Source organism: Homo sapiens, chromosome 2, assembly GCF_000001405.40.
Source record: "Homo sapiens chromosome 2, GRCh38.p14 Primary Assembly".
Lineage (NCBI taxonomy): Eukaryota > Metazoa > Chordata > Mammalia > Primates > Hominidae > Homo > Homo sapiens.
Window position 1 is genome coordinate 78,408,093 of NC_000002.12, and position 20,903 is coordinate 78,428,995.

General features: G+C 34.4%; 1 long non-coding RNA gene and 1 pseudogene across 1 annotated transcript in view; both read right to left on the reverse strand.

Moving 5' to 3' along the window:
* CYCSP6 (CYCS pseudogene 6) lies at nt 4,494-5,070 on the reverse strand (annotated as a pseudogene).
* LOC124906027 (uncharacterized) overlaps nt 7,189-20,903 on the reverse strand; it is a 126,610-nt gene continuing 112,895 nt past the window's right edge. The window contains exon 3 of the long non-coding RNA XR_007087117.1: nt 7,189-7,765. This is a non-coding gene — a long non-coding RNA (uncharacterized LOC124906027). The remainder of the gene's footprint in view (nt 7,766-20,903) is intronic.

Consider the following 20,903-nt stretch of genomic DNA (forward strand, 5'->3'; position numbering starts at 1 on the left):
GCTGCTTCTCAGGCCTGGAATGTGGGGTGCAAGGCTTCCTGACCAGCCTAGGGTTATGTCTACTGACAGTAGCCCAAAAGGCTGTTTCTCAGGCTAAAGAGGTGGAAGCATAGCTGCTCATCCAGCCTCTGGGCATGTTTGCCAGGAGTGGCCCATAGGAATGCTTCTCAAGTCTGGAACATGGGAGCAAGGCTGTTCAATTGATCTGGAAGCCTGCCTCACAGGGGTGGCCTATGGGTTGTCTCTTGGGATCTAGACATGGGCACACAGCTGCTTAGTGGGCTTGGGGGAAGGCCTATCAGGGGCAGCCGCAGGATTTTTTTTCTCAGTCCTGGGGCATGGGTGCATGGCTGCTTGGCCTGCATGGTTGAGTGTCTGCAGGGAATGGCCTACAGGGCTGTTTCTCAGGCGCTGGGGATGGATATACAGCCACTCACTGGCTCAGGAGCGTGTTAGTTGCTCAGAGGCTCAGGGCTCTCTCCCAGTCACAGGAGGGTGCTCAGTGGTTTGTCCAGGTCAGGGGGGGTCGGCCCTGCAAGGGAGTGGCAGACTGTTCCTCTAGGTGTAAGTGAGGGCGGCAGAAGCTGATTTCGCTACTATGCAGGACCAGGATCACAGTCAATCTTGGGTCCAGGCTCCATGCTACTGGGGCTCTGGTATTCAGCCCCTTGTATAATCCAGGTATTAATATAATGAAGATGGAGGCCCAGTGCTAGAGAGGCGCCGTGGTCTGGTCCCCAGAGCAGGGTGCACTCCAGAGGTGGCCCTGGTCTCAAGATGGCACTGTGCTGCAGCAGCTTGGCTTACAGGGAGTCAGTGGGGGTGGAAGTGTACACCTTGTGCTCCTAATCCAAGGCAATGCAGCTCTGTGAATTCCTGGCATCTTTCCAACCTGGGCCCAGTGCTTGTGCATACTGTGGGATTCTCCTGTAGTAAGGACTATGGTTATGATTCTCCTGTAGTAAGGACTATAGTTATTGGCAGTGGCAACAGAGGATGATGGGGATCTTATGCTTACCTTTTGCCCACAACAGAAAGTTCCTCTTGACTCCAGGCAGATCCAACCCAGGTGGAGAAATTGGGCTGCAGACATTGGATGTTTCCACTGTGCTCTCCTGCACAAGTGCCTCTCCACTCCAACATTTTCCCCTCGACACTCCAGTCAAATCTAATCTGCTTACTGCTTTTGTATTTTTTTGTGGGAAGGATGAGTGCCAGGCTTCTCTTGCCAGTCATCTTTCTGATGTCACTCTATAATTTCTTTCTTTAATGTTAAAGTTTTCTTCCATGTGAAATTTAATTTAAAATAATGCACAAGTTTGAATATAGAGTCATATTATTTTTTCAAAACCATTCAATGAACAATTCATCTTTATTTCTTTAATGATTGGAAATCCTAGCTTTATCATAAAATTCATCTACATACATCTTTTTGATTAATGTGTTTATTTTGTGACAATATTATCCAGTTTTAATAAGTAAAGCATGCTAACTCTATCTGAAAGATCTAGTGACTCTTCAAAATTATTTTTTCATAAACCTCCTGCTATCATAAATGCTTAACTGTTCCAGAAGATATTTAATAATTTTCTATAAGTAGAAATTATGCAATTCCAATAATTCAAGAAAAGTTTTATTTTGTGACTGTCTTACATTTAAAGAGAATTGGCTTATCAACAGTGTCAGTTTTCTAATATTCTTTATTCTCTCATGATCTACAGCTTTATGCTCATATTAGCTACAGACACGGAACTTATATCTTCCCATGTATCAATATTTATACACCTTATTGCAATGCTTTCTTAATATAAAATGTCTAGTACTTGTAGAACAATATCACATAAGATTTCTAGTATTATTACAAATAAATATTGTACTGAATTTGTTTTTATTTTAAATTTACAGATGCATGTGCATGCACAGGAAGAATGTTTATTTCAGGAAATAAATGTTTATGTTAATATAATCAAAATTATCAATCATTTTTATGATTCACTTTTGGAGTTTTTATTTAGAATGCTCTTCATATCTTGTGTTGTAAAGACATACTATTATATTTTCTTTAAAGACTTTCTAATGTTGGTTTACATAGTAGACTAATAAATATAGCATTTATTTTTGTATGTAATATAAGGAAGGAATTATTAATCTAAGTTCATGTTTCTTCATATGTATAACTAATTTTTAATTATTTTCTGAATTGCTTCTCTTTTTCCTGTTAGTCTACAATGGCAATAGTCATATATCAAATATATGTGTATATGTGTTTGTTTATTGATTGATTTCTGGAATCATTATTTTGCTTAGCTTTCCATTTATCTGTCTCTGCACAATACGACTTTCAGGTGCTGTAAGACTTAATATACTGTGGCTTAAGTAACACTAATTTATTTATTCATTTTCAAAAATATTTTTGCAATTTTTTGGTCCCTTGTATTTCACATGATTTTTATATGTTGTATCAAGATCCATTAATATTAAGTTCTATCAGAATTTGATGGGAAGTTTTACATTTACATGGGAAAGAGAAGTCATTTTTATAATATTGAGATTGCTTATCCATAAAAATGTTCTTTTAAAATTTTTAAATAAAGTTTTAGAATATTCTTACATTAGTTATGGACATATTTTCAACAAAGACATCAAAGTAAGCCATTTCTGTTATACACAGAAAATATTCCTGTGAAAATTATTTTTTCTTTTACAATAGTAGCTATTTACAACATATGTACAAAACTGGTATGTGTAAGTCATGAATTGTATATACAAAAGGGATCCAGGTAACTGCCATTTTATAATCCAAAAGGAGGAAACTAAAGTCTCCTTGAACTAAAATGAAAGACTTGAATGAATTTATCAACTAGGCAATGATTTTACATACTGTCAGTGATTGACCGAGAGAACAGGAAAGTTTTGTTTTTTTTAATTTCTAAATTTACTTCTATTTTATAAAGATATCAGGGTATCTTTACAATCATGATACACACCAAAATTGTAAACTCTCCTCCAAGAACACCATTGAAAGGTCTTCAGAACCTTAGGATAAAGTAGGAAGTAAATTTTATTGCTATTTTTAAATAAGTCGTATAATAAAAAATGCCAGTGATATTTTTCATGTGATTTGCTTCATTAAATGACACAGGCATCTCACTTCAAACTCTTCTCTCACAACTTCTCCTCTGCTTCCTGACACTCCAGGCCTAGCGACCTTCAATTCATTTCTGGAAGAGTCAAGTTGAATTAAACTATGCATGTCTATGTCTTGGAGCTATGTCTCACAACATATGCACAGGGCTATTTCCTTGGCCTGTAATCCTCAGCCTCTAACTCTCTACATTTTATCTTGTCATTCAAGTCACACATGAATTATCATTTCTTCAAAGGCCTCACTTTAGCCTCCAACCTAAAGCTGTCTCTCTGTCACTTTCCCTCTCATCACCCTGATTTATTTCTTTCATAGAATCCATCTCTGCCTGCAATTATCTTGTTCAATGACTCATTTATACATCTGTGTCTAATGTCCTCCTTCACTAAAAAAGAAGCTCCCTCATGCAGCACTAGATGTATTCTGTTCACTGATGCATCCCAGGCACCTAGAATGGTATCTGGCACATAAATACACTTAATAATTACTTGTTGAATATATGGATATAATTTCTAAATATTATTTAAATTAAATTACATATTTCATTATAGTATTTGATGAACTTAATGACTACATCATAAATCCTAGAACTGTATATTTGACACATCTGTAATTATTAATCTACTTAGAATATGTCTTTTCTTTGCCATGAACATGTTTTTGTAATGATCTGTGAATTTCTTTTTAATTATCTTAAGTCTTATGATCACACATAATTTTAAAATTTATGTATATCTCCTCTACTTTAATTCTTTTAAGTTGGCAAAAGCACTATCCACAATCACAAATACAGAGCAGTTCCACAGTTTTATGTATCTGAATGGCTGTTTAAAGACAATCTTAAATTATAACTTAGTTTGACTTAGATTGTAAAGAATTCAAGAGTGAAGTTTAACTTGCTACTATATTAAAAGCATGTGACCTTATAGATCATCTATAAAATGTGAGAAATGTTAAATAATCTTTGATATTACACATAAACCACACTAAAATGCCCTTCAGTAAGTAAAAAGAACCAGTTTAAATGCAGAGAATTCTAATTAGATTGGCATAGTTAAGGCCAAAAATATAAAGTAGACGTTGCTACCTTATTTATCTTCAACCCTTGCCTTTAAGAGGCAAATGAACACAAAACACAGATGAATCTTGCTTGGTTCTGAGACAGTGAAGGAATTTCCCGAGTATTTAAATATATTCACATAACCAGTTATAGAAATCTAAATATAAACCAATATCCAGTAAGTTTTAAGATGGCAGTCACCATCTTTGTGAAAAGTTGAACATTACCAGTGAAGTCTAATCATATCTTTAGAAGGGGTAAACAGTGATAGCATTTACTGAATTGGAATTACTATTAAAATTCAAAAACTGAACACATTCATTTAACCACAAGCCAGTCTTAGTTTTAAATCAGGATTGCCCAGTAAAATATTCTGTCAGTCATTCATGATCTGAATTCTGGTGTATGAGATCTATTAAAGTATGGTACACATAGAAAAGTCATGAGACATTTCTGTTTTGTAATAAATAAGGCAGTGGCCAATTATTACTCATGAGTAGCTTTTTTTGAGATAAGCTATCAAGTCTGCCCTTTCTGCCTTCTTCTGAATGCCAGCAAAGATCATTTTTGTTCCAGGGATGTAGTTCTTGGGATTCTGCAAATGCTCCATCACTGTATCCTCTCCCCAGGTGATCTCTTTGTTCTTACTGGCATCTTTGTAAGAGAATCCAATGGCCTGACCAGTCTTCAGCCCAAAGAGACCATGGAGGTTAGGCCCAGTCTTGTGCTTGCCTCCCTTTTAGGCACTGGGCACACTTCTGAACAAAAATCTTCTTGCCTTTCTCAACGTCACCCACATTTCATTCTCTTTTTCATCACTGGTGCAATGAAAGTTCCTGCTCTGAAGCCGGATGTCCCACTCCCTGCCACAAACATTTTCTAAAGGAGTGATGGAAGAAGAGATTTTCTTATTCTTCTAAAAACATATATAAATAATAAATGTAAAATATGTGTATGAATTCTCAAATTAGTTAGAACAATGTGAAAAGTAATGAGAAATAAATAATATGAAAAAAATAATATTTTTAAAAGCTCATGTAGATTCTCCTTACTTCCCCCTGCATCTCATTGCTCTTTCCAAAGGATAAGCACAATGAACAGATGGATGTAATTCTTCCTGAACTTTTCCTATGGATTTGTAATCTGTGACTCTATTTTTATATATATATATATATCTCCATATATCTCTCTCCAAAGCCTTGGTGAGCTTAGCATAATATACAAAAGATCATTAAGGGATGAAATATCAAGAAAGAAAACAACACTTATATTATTTTTTAGAGTAAATGAAGCATTTGGTAAATTGATTAGCACAATTTTTAGCACAAGGTTTTAAAGAAACCACACTGGGAACTGGATTACACAATAGAGTTATATCTTAGATTTCAGAGTAAATGGAAGTAATTTTCTTCAAATATGATTGAATGAATGTGATATTTTTCTTGTGTGTTAGTGTATTAGCATAAGCAAACTAACCTGAATGCATAAGTAATTTTTTCCTAAAATTTTTCTGCAATTGTCAGAGACAGATTAATTAACCTTAAAAACATTCCCTAAGTTCACATAAAATATATATAATGCTGTTTATTTAGGGAGAGTAATTAATTTTCTTCAGGGGCTAAAATCACATTCCCTAAAGCAAAATCATTCTGACATTATCAAATATCATAGTGTGGTTAAAGAACAATTATAAAGTAATTTACAGAATAAATCTTATTACTTTTCAGAGGCCTTTTGGATTAAGTGAAAGAAAATGGTACTATATTTGACTTTCAGCCTTCTTTCCTCAAACAGTTGAACATGCAGAAATAAAAAGTGAAATTTCATTACCTATAAACTATTAAATTCAAATGACCTAAAAATAATACCTTTAAGAAATCATTGAGCACATTTTTTTCTCAAAACTTATTGCCATTAAAAAAAAATTAAAACTTTTAAAAACCAAGACACTAGACTTTCTTCACAGTAATGTAGCTTTAACTTCTGAAGGGTTGTTAGGATTTGGTTGTCATCTGTTGATTTCCTGGGATTAAAAATAATCAATGACTCATTAATTTGTCAATTGATTTTTTTCTATCAAAAATTATTCGTTAAATGTAGACTGTATTAAAAAAACCCACCTAAAAAGCTGTGGGCTGCTTAAAGAAACAAATGTATTTATATACTGTTGGTGAGAATGTAAATTAGTTCAACTCCTATGGAAAACAGTATGGAGATTTCTCAAATAACTAAAAATAGAACTGCTATTCAACCCAGCAATACTGCTACTGGACATCTACCCAAAGGAAAATAAATTGTTTTATCAAAAAGCCACCTGCACTTATATGTTTATTGCATCACTATTCACAATAGCAAGGTCATGGAACAAACATAAGTGTCCATCAACTATTGACTGAATAAAGAAAACGTAGTATATATACACAGTGGAATACTATGCAGCCATCAAAAAGAATGAAATCATGTCTTTTGCAGCAACATAGATGGATCTGGAGGCCATTATTATGAGATAAATAGCTCAGAAACAGAAAGTCAAATGCCACATGTTTTACTTCTAGGTGGAAGGTAAACAATGGTTACACATGGACATAAAGATAGAAATAATAGACACAGGAACTCCAAAAGGGGGGAACATGGGAAGGAAGCAAGGTTTTTAAAGCTATGTATTGGATATTGTGTTCATTGTTTGAGTGATGGGTTCATTTGAAACCCATCCGCATTACACAATATACCTATGTAACAAATATTCACATATACCCTCTGAATCTAAAATAAAATAAAACTAAATTTAAAAAACAAATTGTATACTCCTAAATAGTTATTATCAGAAACCTTGAAATATAATGGAAGAAATTTTTCCAATTTTTAAATTTATAAAAAAAAATTATACCAGGCAATATGTAGTGTAAATTAATAAGCAGGATATTATTTAGTTGAAAATGTAAGGTTAAATGAAGAGGAATCAAAATATAGATAAATTCTTTAAGTGGTCTACACATGATTTTCTTTGTATTTCCATTCTTTTTAAAAATTTTATTTTTCTTAATTGACAAATAATACTTATGCATGTTGCTGTCATATATAATGATGTCTCAATACATATAATGTATTTTTAAACAGATCAGGATCCACTCTTGTAATCATCATTAATGCTAATTTCTTATCAACTGAATGTTCACAATAAACTCGTAAGCTTTTTCTAGATCATCTTTGCAGTAATAAGATTTGGCTATAAAAATAAATAAATAAAATCAGAACAATAACTATGCCACGTTTCTGCTGAAAATTTTATTGCTGTCATATAAATAAATGCTAACATTCAAGGTCTTACATAATCTGACAAAACATTGCTCTTTAATTTCTTACTAATTTCTTAGATAATAATAAGAATATCTAGCCTTTCTAAAGTGCTTATATTTTCTAAGTTATAGTATTCAATTTAACTCTTACAAATGTTCTATAATTACAGTCATCTCTCGGTGTCTGGTGGGGACTGGTTCCAGGACTGCCGTCTCCTCCACAACTACCACAATCCACAGATGCTCAAGTCCCACAGTTGGCTTCTGTATTCACAGATGCAGAACCCACAGACACAGAAAACTAAATGTAATTACAATTTACAGATAAGTAAAGAAAATCTCAGTACAAATTACTTGTCCAATACTGCCTAAATGTGCTAAGACTAGAAGGGAAATCTATTCCAAGAGAATTTACCTACTAGATGGTAGACATCAAGCTTATTCAACCCATGGCTTGTGGGCTGCATGCAGCCCAGGATGGCTTTGAATGAGGCTCAACACAAATTCGTGAACATTATGGGATTTTTTGCAATGTTTTTTAGCTCATCAGCTATTGTTAGTGTTAGTGCATTTTTTATTTGTGGCCCGAGACAATTCTTCTTTCAGTATGGCCCAGGGAAACCAAAAGATTGGACACCCCCGGTAGCCATGATTCTAAACTTCCCTCTATTGAGCAATTACTATCTGCCAAACATTATATTAGAGAAAAGAAATAGTAAGCAAAAAGCAACAACAGTATTGTGTAGGCTACCCTTAAATGTATTCAAATCCAGCCTAAAAAGTAAATAAATAACATACTAATTTAACAGTTTAATTTTTTTCAAAGTGGAAAGAGAATGAGAAACTGCTGAGCTCACACATGGAACAGGGACAGTGGTCCATTGTATCTTCCAGAATCACTGCTTAGTTTTTTCCCTCTTCCTTAGCTCCATTGATTTAAAATGACCTAAGCTTACACATCTCACTTGTCTCACTTACCCCATGATAGTCACCTGGGGTAGAATTAAAGATCAGATTTAACCATAATGCTTATCATATCTTTATCAGTAGCCTTTTATTACAGCATTCCAGCAATTATATTCCACACTAATTTTGAGCTGATGCTTAAGACATTGACCAAAACAGCTGGTGGACATAATAAATTGTTTGTAGAATCATGATTTGTCCCTCCCCACAATTTCCTCATGGCCTAGCATTCTGACATTTGAGTCATTTATGATAAATGGTGGTAAGTAAACAACCATCAAAGAGCACCGTCCCTTCAGTGGAAACAACCTATTCTCTGTGCCAAAGGTTGATGCTGTTGTTTGTCCAAATGTGTGTGACCATATAGAGCTATAGTTATCCATTTATTATTTCATCTATGTATTTGACTTTCACTGAGAATCTATCAGGTTGGTGCAGAAGTAATTGCGGGTTTTGCTATTGAAAGTAATGCAAAACCAGTTACTTTTGCACCAACCTAATACTATGACTCAGTCACTGTTTTAGATTTTGGTAAACAAGTCTGTGTCAGGGCCCCCCAAGAACACTCTCAGGTTTGGTGATTTACTAGGAAGGCTCATAATATTCAGTATACAGTTGAACACATGGCTATGATTTATTGCAGCAAAAAGAAACAAAGACAATCCAGCAAAGGGAATAGGTGCATAATGAAGAGTCTAGAAAAGACAAGGTGTACAGCCTCTAATAGTGGAGTCACACAGAACACAATTTCTACAGCAGACTTGTGACAACACATGAGAAATATTGTCTATCAGGGAAGCTCATTAAAGGCAGGGTTTTTATTGCATGCGCTTCACAAAAGCACACTCTGCCTAACACATACAGCATTTCAGAGTCCCAGAAGGAAAGCAAGTAGTTAGCATAAACCATATTGCTTGCACAGTCTAGACTGAGTGAATCATTCTTATCAGTTATGGAACTGTGGGAACCAATCTGAAATCCAAGTTTCCAAATACCAGACAAGAGCCTACTTTGTAAGCAGACTTCATAAGGATAGCAATCTCAGGTCTGCTGTGTTAACTGTTTTCTGCACGACATCACATAAATCTTGCTCTGTTATAACTTATTCTCTGGCATGTGTGTGTGTGTGGCTGTGGAGGGGGAGACCAAAAAAGCAATAAATTATATGTAATAATATACAGTAGACCCTGCCACAGCTCTTAATATATTCCAGGTGCTACTCTAAGTGTTTTACCTAATTAATTCACTCAGTCCTTACAACAGTATTTTAATATGGATACTCAATATAATCATTCCTATTTTACTATGAAAACTAAGGCACAGAGATTAGATACATTGGTCAAACAGGAAAAAGTCAAGTCAGACATTCAAGGTAAGCAAGGAAACTCCAGAATCTATAACTTTTATCATTATATAATTCCCTTTCTAAAAAAATAAATAAGAAAATATCAAATAGTAATAAATTCTAGGCTGAGAAATAGAATAAGGGATTATCAAAAAATGTATGTTATGAGCAAGGATTGCAATTGGCTGGCATCACGAATTGCCTGTCCAGCTGTTATTGTGCCTTCTCTGTAATGCTTCCTGGGCTGAATGCCATAAAAATGATTTGGCAATAAACTGGATAAATTGGAGTCTCTGATGACAGAGTCACGTTAGCAATTGTACTAGAGCTAGCCCCAACTCAGGGCTTCCTATCAAGTGAATTACATATTATTCTTATGATGTAAGCCACTTGAATAAGAGGTTCTCTTACATATAGCTATAAACATTTGAATTGACATAGAAGATTATGTTAAATTAGATGATAAGGAAAGGGTTTTCTTAGTCAATGACACTTAAGTTGAAAACTCAATGACAGGGAAGAGCTCACTATGCAAAAATAATTTCAGGCTGAGAAAATCACGTAAGTCAGGCATACTAGTCAGTGTATGTGAGAAACAACACAAACGTGAGAACTGATGAAGCGTATATGTGAGTAGGAGATGGTGTAAGAAGTGGTGAGTAACAACATATTAAGCTTTGGAGACTGTAATATGAATTGTGAATATTATCTTATGTGCAATTGGAAGCTACTAATGAGTTTTAAGCATAGATGTGATTATGTTTGTGCTTTTAAAATCACTCAGCTAACTGCAGAGGATAGAAATTTGAGGATCCAGCTTGGAAGAAAGAAAACAATTTAGAGGCAATTAATAGTGTTCATGTAAAAGATGACAACATTTTGTATTAGATAATAAAAGTACAGAATAAGATAAGTGAATAGATTAATGAGATTATTTACTTGTTTATTATTATTATTATTTTTTAGTGACGGGGTCTAACTCTGTTGTCCAGGCTGGAGAGCAGTGGCATGATCATAGCTCGCTGTATGATCTCAGGAGTTCAAGGAGTCTTGAACTCCTGAGATCAAGTCATTCTCCTGTCTCAGCTTCTCAAGTAGCTGGGACCACAGGCATACATCACCACACTGGCTAGTTTTTTTTTTTTAAGTGTTTTATTGTTTTTGTTTTTGTTTTTGTTTTTTTTGTAGAGACAAAATCTTGCTATGTTGCCCAGGCTGGTCTTTACACCTGGTCTCAAGCAATCATCTCACCTTCATCCCACAAAGTGTTGGGATTACAGGCATTAATTAGACACAGCACCAGGCATGAGGTGATATTTTGTATATGTGGTCAATAAATCTGAACAGTGGAGAAATAAATTATATCAAAAACATCTTTTTTATTGGATTATTTGTCTTTTTCTTACTGACTTACTGTGTTTAGTTTGGTTACATATCCTTTATCAATAACATATATGCAAATGTTATCATCTTTCCATTGACTAGCAATTTTTCTTTTAAATACAAACACACACACACACACACTATGTACAAATGGCTGATAGACATAGTAAATATTCTCAACATCATAAAAATTAATAGTATATGAGAGATTTTCAGTTTAAACAAGAATATGTAAAGGTCTTTAAAATTGTCTATCCTATTCTTGTGTACTTGGAATAAACCCCACTTGGTTGTGGTATACAATTCTGTTTTTGATATGAAAGGAGTATGTAAGACTCAAGCAAAATAAACTGTATATAAGTACTATATCCTAGTTAATAAAGTTGTTCCCCATGGATGTATAGATTATCAATTCTTTTACTGCCATATGTGTGTTCTTGAATTAACAATTAAGTAATGTATGGTGAATGGTAAGAACCATTTTTTTTTCACCACTGAAGTGGGAAGTTGCATATAAGGGGAAGAGGTTAGAATGATACATACGGTAATTAACTACAGTTGGTGACATCACTATGAACTCATGTTGAGGTGAGTATACATAGGCTGTAAGTACATTTTTTTTTTGCTCTATCAGCTGATAGGGCCTAGAATAAAACATAGCATAGGAGCAAAGAACGTATTATTATTAAGGAAATATTTATTTCTAATACTAATATTCAATACAAAGAACCAAGGCTTCTCGCAGAAGTGACTGAATTATTCTAAGACTTGGCAGAACATAAAATATATACTACGAGCCTGAAGCATCTTATAATGCCAGAAAGTAAGGTTATGTTTAGCATGTGGTTACACAGACACACACACACACACACACACACACACAAACCGCATACACCCTTACCTCACACAGTAATGAGGCTATTTAAAAAGGATACTGAAGTCACCTGAAAGAGCTCCCAATGGCCAAAGCTAGAATAATTTGAGCATAAAATACATTATTTTGTGTTGGGTTATAAACCTGTATTAGTCAGCTAGGGCTGCCATAACAAAATAGACTGAATGGCTTGAACAATAAAGATACATTTTCTCACAATTTGGAGTCTGGAAAGTCCACAATGAAGGCCCAGCAAGGTTTGGTTACTGGAGATTTGTCTGTGCCCAGTTTGCAGATGGATGACTTCTCCCTGTGTCCTCACATGGCAGACAGAGGGTGAGAGAAAACTTTTGCTTATTAGGTTGGTTGGTGCAAAAGTTATTGAGGATTTTGTCATTACTTTTAATGGCAAAAACCGTAATTACTTTTACACCAACCTATATAAAGCCACATATAGTACTAATATAAGGCCACAAATACTATCAGATTAATTCTCCATATTTATGACCTCATTTAACCTTAATTATTTCCTGAAGGCCCTATTTCCAAAAACAACCACATTGGGTGTTATAGCTTCAGCATGTGAAATTTGGAGGGACACAGTTCAGTCCATAGTGAACTGTAGTCCTGGCCCTCAAAATTCATATTCTTACATGAAAAATACATTATTTCCATCCCAACAGCCCCAAAGACTCAACTCATATCAGCATCAACTCTCAAGCCAAAATTCCAAAATTTAAATGTCATCTAAATCAGATGTGTGTGATACTCAAGGTACTATTCATTCTGAGATAAAATTCCTCTACAGCTGTGAACCTGTGACATCAGAAAAGTAGTATGCTTTTAAAATACAACTGTGGAACAGGCATAGGATAGACATTCTTATCCTAAAAGGGATAAATTAGATGCAAGAAAAGGGTGATAGGTTCTAAGCAAGTTCAAAACTTAGCAAAGCAAGTTTCATTAGATTTCAAGTCTTGAGAATAATCCTTGGTTCGGTGTTCTCCTTCCAGAACCAACGGGGCAGTGATCCTGCCCTCAGTATTCTCAAGCCTTTACCTATTACCCAGTTTAAAGCCACTTTCACATTTTTAGGTATTGGTTACAGAAGCCTTGACCAAAATATAAAATAAGTATCCAAGAGTTTATACTGATATAAATGCATGATTGACTATGCAAATAAACGGAGGAAGATAAACAAATTTCCTATACAGAAGAATTTCAAATAATTTATGTAAACACTGCGCCCATCAGGTTTCAGAGTATAAATTCTAACTCTTTAAGTATAATCTGAACACAGGGAATTCTTTTCTATGAGTATAATATGGAAGGGAGGGGAAGAAATTGAGACTGTGTGAGAAGCTTTCTAAACACCACTTCCACCAGGCCATGTTAAAGGTTTATGCCTCTCCAATTGTAGTACAAATCACCTTCATTTCTAAACCTGCTATTCAATCTTGATGTTTATGGCAGGTTTTCCTTTGGCAAAAATGCATGGGTCTCTTCCAGTTGTTGTCTTCCCTTTACCCCCCGGGACTACTCCACACTACTTCAGCTTGATGTTTCAAATATATACTTGATTGCACTAATCTTGTAAATATTTCCCAAAGCTCCTTCCATCATTCCATGTAGATTAAACATATTGCTGATACTAATTACTACTATAACTCTTACTGTATGTCTGTGTGTATATGTGTGTGTGTGGTCATTTTAAAAGAAATTTTAAAGAGGTATATGTAGGATATGGCAAAATATTTTTATCATAGATTCATCTCAGATTACAGGACTATTTTCAAAATAAATCAATGGAGGGAAAATAAAATGTAATTTTGAAAATAATACGTCATTCTAATATTTTAATAAAGTAAATATTTTAATAATAGCTTTTTGTGTCTTTTTAATTCTTTTTTAAAAGCAGAAAATATTTCAGTACACATAAATATGATTAGTGTACCTGAGGAGTAGATGTTTTATGTTAGATTTAATTGTTGACTATTTTTATGTATCAAGTCTTTCATTAAAGCTACTATGTTGATGAAGTTTCTGTTCTGTCGGAAATATGCTTTCAAACACAACACTATAAAATATGCCAACAGAGTTTTACTTTAAAGAAATTGTCAAGAAGATTTAACACAAGATCCACCCTCTTGACAAATTTTTAAAATGCATAATACAGTGCTTTTAATTATAGACACGATGATATACAGCAGATTTTTAGTACTTATTTATCTTCCATCAATGAAACATTATATCCACTGGATGAAAACTTTCCCTCCTGACCTCTGGTAAGCACCATTCCATTCTCTGCTTCTATGAGTTTGATTATTTTAAATACTTCACATGAGCAAAATGATGCAGTATTTGTGCTGCAATACCTGGCATTTTTCACTTAGCATAATTTCTTCAAGTTTTATCCATGTCGTTTTACATTGCCTGCTACAGGCTGAAAGTTTATGTCCCCCTAAAATTCATATATTGAAAATCTTCTTCAATAGGAACACTTTTACACTGTTGGTGGGACTGTAAACTAGTTCAACCATTGTGGAAGTCAGTGTGGCGATTCCTCAGGGATCTAGAACTAGAAATACCATTTGACCCAGCCATACCATTACTGGGTATATACCCAAAGGACTATAAATCATGCTGCTATAAAGACACATGCACACGTATGTTTATTGCGGCACTATTCACAATAGCAAAGACTTGGAACCAACCCAAATGTCCAACAATGATAGACTGGATTAAGAAAATGTGGCACATATACACCATGGAATACTATGCAGCCATAAAAAATGATGAGTTCATGCCCTTTGTAGGGACATGGATGAAATTGGAAATCATCATTCTCAGTAAACTATCGTAAGAACAAAAAACCAAACACCGCATATTCTCACTCATAAGTGGGAATTGAACAATGAGAACACATGGACACAGGAAGGGGAACATCACACCCTGGGGACTGTTGTGGGGTAGGGGGAGGGGGGAGGGATAGCATTGGGAGATATACCTAATGCTAAATGACGAGTTAGTGGGTGCAGCGCACCAGCATGTCACATGTATACATATGTAACTAACCTGCACGTTGTGCACATGTACCCTAAAACTTAAAGTATAATAATAAAAAAAAACCATAGATTGCAAAAAAAAGAAAGAAAAAACTGTACGTAAAAAAAAAAAAAAAAAAGAAAGCATATATCTATCTATAGAACTATTGTAACACAAAGAATGTTTTAATGCTTACATGGTTAATTAGCAAATCTGGGGAAAGATACGGTGTTTCCCCATTTATTTCTCAGAAAAGCCTTAAGAAAGACAATAGACAAATAACCTCCATGCAAAAAAACCATTTTTATAATATGTCAAAGCACATTAATATCCTCTATAGCATTTTAGCACCAAAAGTAACAAGTGGAATTTCTTAAATAAAATTAAAGTCTGTCTTATACAAAAAAAAAAAGGTGGAATCCTCAAGAATGGAATTAATGTTCTTATTTTAAAAACTCCAGAGCACTCCCTTGTTTCTTCTGCTATGTGAGAACTCAGTGAGAAGATGGTCATGTGTGAACCAGGAAGTGACAGTGAATCTGCTGGCACCTTGATCTTGAATTTCTCTGCCTCCAGAACTATGTTAAATGAATTCCTGTCGTTTATAAGGCACCTAGTCTGTGGTACTTTTGTTATAGCAGCACAAATGGACTAAGACATGGTATAATTTTCTTCTTTTTTAAGTGTGAATAATATTCTATTTTATGTCTATACCAGATTTTATCCATTTGTAGATAATGAACAAATGAAAACCCAATGGATTTTGTACTGTAATACATGTATTGAATTAAATGTTGTTTTTATTAATGAAGGATTTACATTGGCTTTGTTAAATCAGAGTATATTAAAAAACACAAATAAAAGTGCTTTCATATGGATAAAAACCATGTTTATCTAATTCCTGTCTAGACAATGGCACCAGGCAGGCTTCTTGGATCCTATAGTTTCTTCTTCACAGAGCACCTAAGGAAATCTTGTTACATATCATGGCTTCTGTGAAAACATATCAGCATTTTCTCATCCCATACACATACAAAAAAAGCGAAGTTCCCAATATGATCCATGGGTTCCTGAATGCTCTGGCTTCCCTCCCTTCTCTTCTATATCTCCTTTCTGTTTCCTCGAGGCTGCTGTACTCTAGCCACAATGGTACTGTGCATATTCCTAGAATACAACCAACCAGGCTTCAGGGACGTTGCACTATCTTGTCATGGAACATAGTTGTAGCTATGTGTTTCACTTCTTCACTTCATTTATGCGTCTACACAAATGACATGTTATCAGAAAGTTCTTTCTTGCTTGCTCCTGTTATTTAAAATGGCTAACTTTTCTATTTCTGTACCATGTCTAATTTTTTCTTAATATCATTTAAATCTGATTGTAACAAATTACCACAAATGCGGCGGTTTAACACACATTTATTTTCTTATGGTTCTGGGAGTCAGAAGTCTGAAATTAAGTTCTCTGGACTACAACCAAATCAGCAAACCTGTGTTTCTTTTGGAGACTCTAAGGGAGAATCATTTCCTTACTTAGAGCTACATTGTTCCTAGAGGCTGCTGTTCCTTGCCTCATGGTTAGTTTCTCCGTTGTCAAAGCCAGTGGCATATCATCCCTCTCGGACTCTGCTTCTTTCTGCTTCTCTGTATCCTACCTTATTTACTGCCTCTTATAGGGATTCTTGTGATTATATTGGGCCTACTTAGATAATTAAAGATATGATTTCCTTATCAAAATCTCTAATTTAATCACAGCTGAGAAGTCCCTATAACCATGTAAAGCAGCATAGTCACAGTTTCCAGGGATTAGGATAAAAATATCTTTGAGGGGGCATTATTAAATCTACCAAAATGATATAAATAGTATATATTTATTTGTTTATTCATTATCTGTTTCTCTGAGATGTAAGCCCCACAAGAACAGATACTTTGTATGTTATGACCATTACTTTTGCTTCATCTCCCAGCAAAATATATGGCAAGTTAAGGATGCTCATAGGAAGGTAGTAAAATATTAATTGTTTGTGGACACATATCCTTAAAGGTATTTCTTAATACCAATGCTTAATAAACAATTTAAGTAAATAATTGAGGATGTAAGATTGCTTGTCCTCTAATAAAACATACTCACTTACTCACAAGATGTCACTACCCCAAAATAAAACATATGATAATGGAGATGAAATGAGAAACACTAGTATTGGCTAACATCTGACAACACACTGATGTGGATTTCTGTATGATACAACGTGCTATTTTCCCTCTCTGTTATATCCTAGTCATGTATTTCAGCTCATAAGACAACATTCTCTGATCTCAAATTATTCCCATGTCAAAGATGGCATGCCATATCAAATCTCATTAACAAATATAAATTATACCTTTTTAAGATTATTATCCAGCTGTTTGGACCTCTTTCCAACAGTGTATCAGTTTCACAATGGAATATAATATCTCTATTTCCTCAGATTGATTTTGTTTATTTGAATGCCTCAAACCTTTCTTTGTATACTGATTTTTCTTTTTGAATTTTTTTTTATCATTTTTTATTATACTTTAAGTTTTAGGGTACATGTGCACAATGTGCAGGTTAGTTACATATGTATACATGTGCCATGTTGGTGTGCTGCACCCATTAACTCGTCATTTAACATTAGGTATATCTCCTAATGCTATCCCTCCCCCCTCCCCCCACCCCACAACAGGCCCCGGTGTGTGATGTTCCCCTTCCTGTGTCCGTGTGTTCTCATTGTTCAATTCCCACCTATAAGTGAGAACATGCAGCGTTTGGTTTTTTGTCCTTGCAATAGTTTGCTGAGAATGATGGTTTCCAGCTTCATCCATGTCCCTACAAAGGACATGAACTCATCATTTTTTTTATCATGCAAATCTGAGTACAATATTGAAAACTAATTAGGTCCTGTGGAATATGTTTTTTTCAGTTTCTATCCAAACATATCAATTCCAAATATATCAAATATAAAGAGTAAGAGAAAAATACATAATTAATTTGATTAATTTCAATTAGTTATTTTACAAGAAAAGAGGTCAAGATGTTTAGAAGATGCAATAGGCATAAATATGTTCATGCAAACCTTTTCTTCCCAAAGAGTTGAGAGAAAAAAATAATACCTACGTGATGATATTTTACTGTTGTTGGCATAAATGGGGAATATAGATTTGTTTGTTCTATTTAATAATTAACTAGGGAGTAAATAACCACAGAAATCAATTCAAACATAAAATAATAAGGCCTACTAGGGACTAAAGGAAACACTGGCAGATTCAGTCTAGTTTTTGTTTGTTTGTCTGTTTATGTATGTGTTTATATCTTAAGATTCCCTATAGAGAAGTAGGGAACTCAATTAACACACTTAAAAAAACTACACAGTAGAGCAATAAGGGAAAATCCCATACAGTATTAGACTGATGGGAGATTTTCCATCTTCTGTTGTGGGCCGTTAACTGCTTATTAAGGATATAAAAAAAACAGCTTCCTCAGCTAAACTCCTAAGTATCTGAGGACCAACAATTAATCTTTCAAAGATGACAATATTTAAATTGTGAATTAGGCCTAATACATATTTTTTATTTTGGTTTTGCAAATCTGGCAATTCTCTTCCCACAGGGACCATAATATCTGTTTCTGACTATTAGACTTATTTAAATATGTAAATATATTCTAATAACACAGTATGCTACTTTTCATAGTCTTCTACAATACTACTAGAAAAATCACCATTGATTTGAATTTTGAATTAAACATTTATTCAGACTTGCTCTTATTGAATTCATTATAAAAATCGTGGTTCTCTTTCATTAATACCAATATCTATATTGCTGTAAATGTACTATTGTGAATAACAAGAAATATCACTTGAAACATAGTCAATTAATCTATGAGGAGAAAGGAACACTTCCAAACCATTGTACAAGGCCAGCATTACCCTCATACCAAAGTCAGACAAGAAAATTACAAGAAAAGAAAATTACAGGCCAATATCCCTGATGAACACATGCAAACCTTCTCAACAAAATACTCACAAATTAAATTCCACAGCATATTAAAAGGCTTGTGAACTAAAATTATCTGAGACAGCTCTCAATCAGTTTAGAAAGATTATTATGACAAGGTTAAGGACACATCATGACATATCCTGAGACACGTGCCTAAGGTGGTCGAGGTACAGCTTGGTTGTACATTATAGAGAGACATGAGACATGAATCAACATGTGTAAGACGCATACTGGTTCGGTCTGGAAAGGCAGGGCAACTCGAAGCGGGGGCTTTCAGGTCAAAGGTCATAATATTCCACAAAGGTGCCAAAAATACACAATAAAAAAGATAGTCTTTTAAATAAATGATGTTGGGAACACTAGGTACCCACATGTTCACACAAATAAAATGATTTTGGATCCTTATCTTACACCATACCCAACTATTCACTCAAAATGGATTAAAGACTGAAGCATGAGGTGCAAAAGCATACAACTTCTAGAAGAAAACACAAGGGAAAATCTCCATAACATTGATCTTGGTGATGACTATTGGGATATGACACCAAATGCATAGAAAATAAAAGGGAAAATTGTCAAGTGGGACTATATTAAAGATTTTGCACAGCAAAGGAAACAGTTCACAAAATGCTACCACCACCTATGGAATAGAAGAGAGCATTTGAAAACCATACATTCAATTAGAGGTTCATATCCAAAATATATAAGAGACTCATACAACTCTATAGCAAAACCAAACAAATAACCCTATTTAAAAATGGGTAAAGTACCTGAGTATTTTTTTTTTCTAAAGAGAACACGCAAATGGTCAATAGATATATGTATGAGTGCTCAACATCGCTAATCATCAGGTAGATTCAAATCAAAACCACAACGAGCTATCACCTCACATCTGTTAGGATTGCTACTATCAAAAAGCCAACAGACAAGTGTTAACGAGGATGTGGAGAAATGAGAACCCTTCTATATTTCTGGTGGGACTGTTAAGTGGTACAGCCATTATGAAAAACAATATGGAGTTTCCTAAAAAAATTAAAAATGAAACTACCATATAATTTAACAATCCCATTTCTAGGGATATATCCAGAGGAAATAAAGTCATTATCTCGAAGAGAGAGCTGCACTTCCATGTTCACTGCAACATTATTCATAATAGCAAATATATTAAAACAACCTAAGTGTTGATCAACAGATGAATGGATAAAGCCTTTATAAAGAAGGAAATTTTGCCATTTGCATCGCAATGGCAAACATGAAGGGCATTATGTTAAGTGAAATAAGCCAGACACAGAAAGACAAATACTGGATGGTCTCAGTTTTATGTGGAATATAAAAGTTAAACTCATAGAAACAGAGAGTAGACGGGTGGTTATCCAAGGTTAGCAGGTGAAGAAAATGAGGAGATATTGGCCAAAGGGTAGAAGCTTTGAGTTATAAAATGAATGAGTTCTGTAGACTTAATTTACAGCATGTATTTAAGGTACCGTATACTCAAAATTTGCAAAGAGAATAGATCTTAAATATTCTCACCACACATGCACACAGAAGGTAACTATGTGAGACAATGAGTATTTCAACTAGCTTCATTGTGGTATTCATTTTACAATGTACACATACATTGAAACATGCTATATGACTTAAATATATGCAATTTTTAGTTAAGGTTATATCTCAGTAAAGCTGGAAAATGAAACATTTACACAATCTAGTTTACAAATACTACATTAGAAATATACAAGAACCAAACAACATTATTTCAGTTGTTTAAAAAAT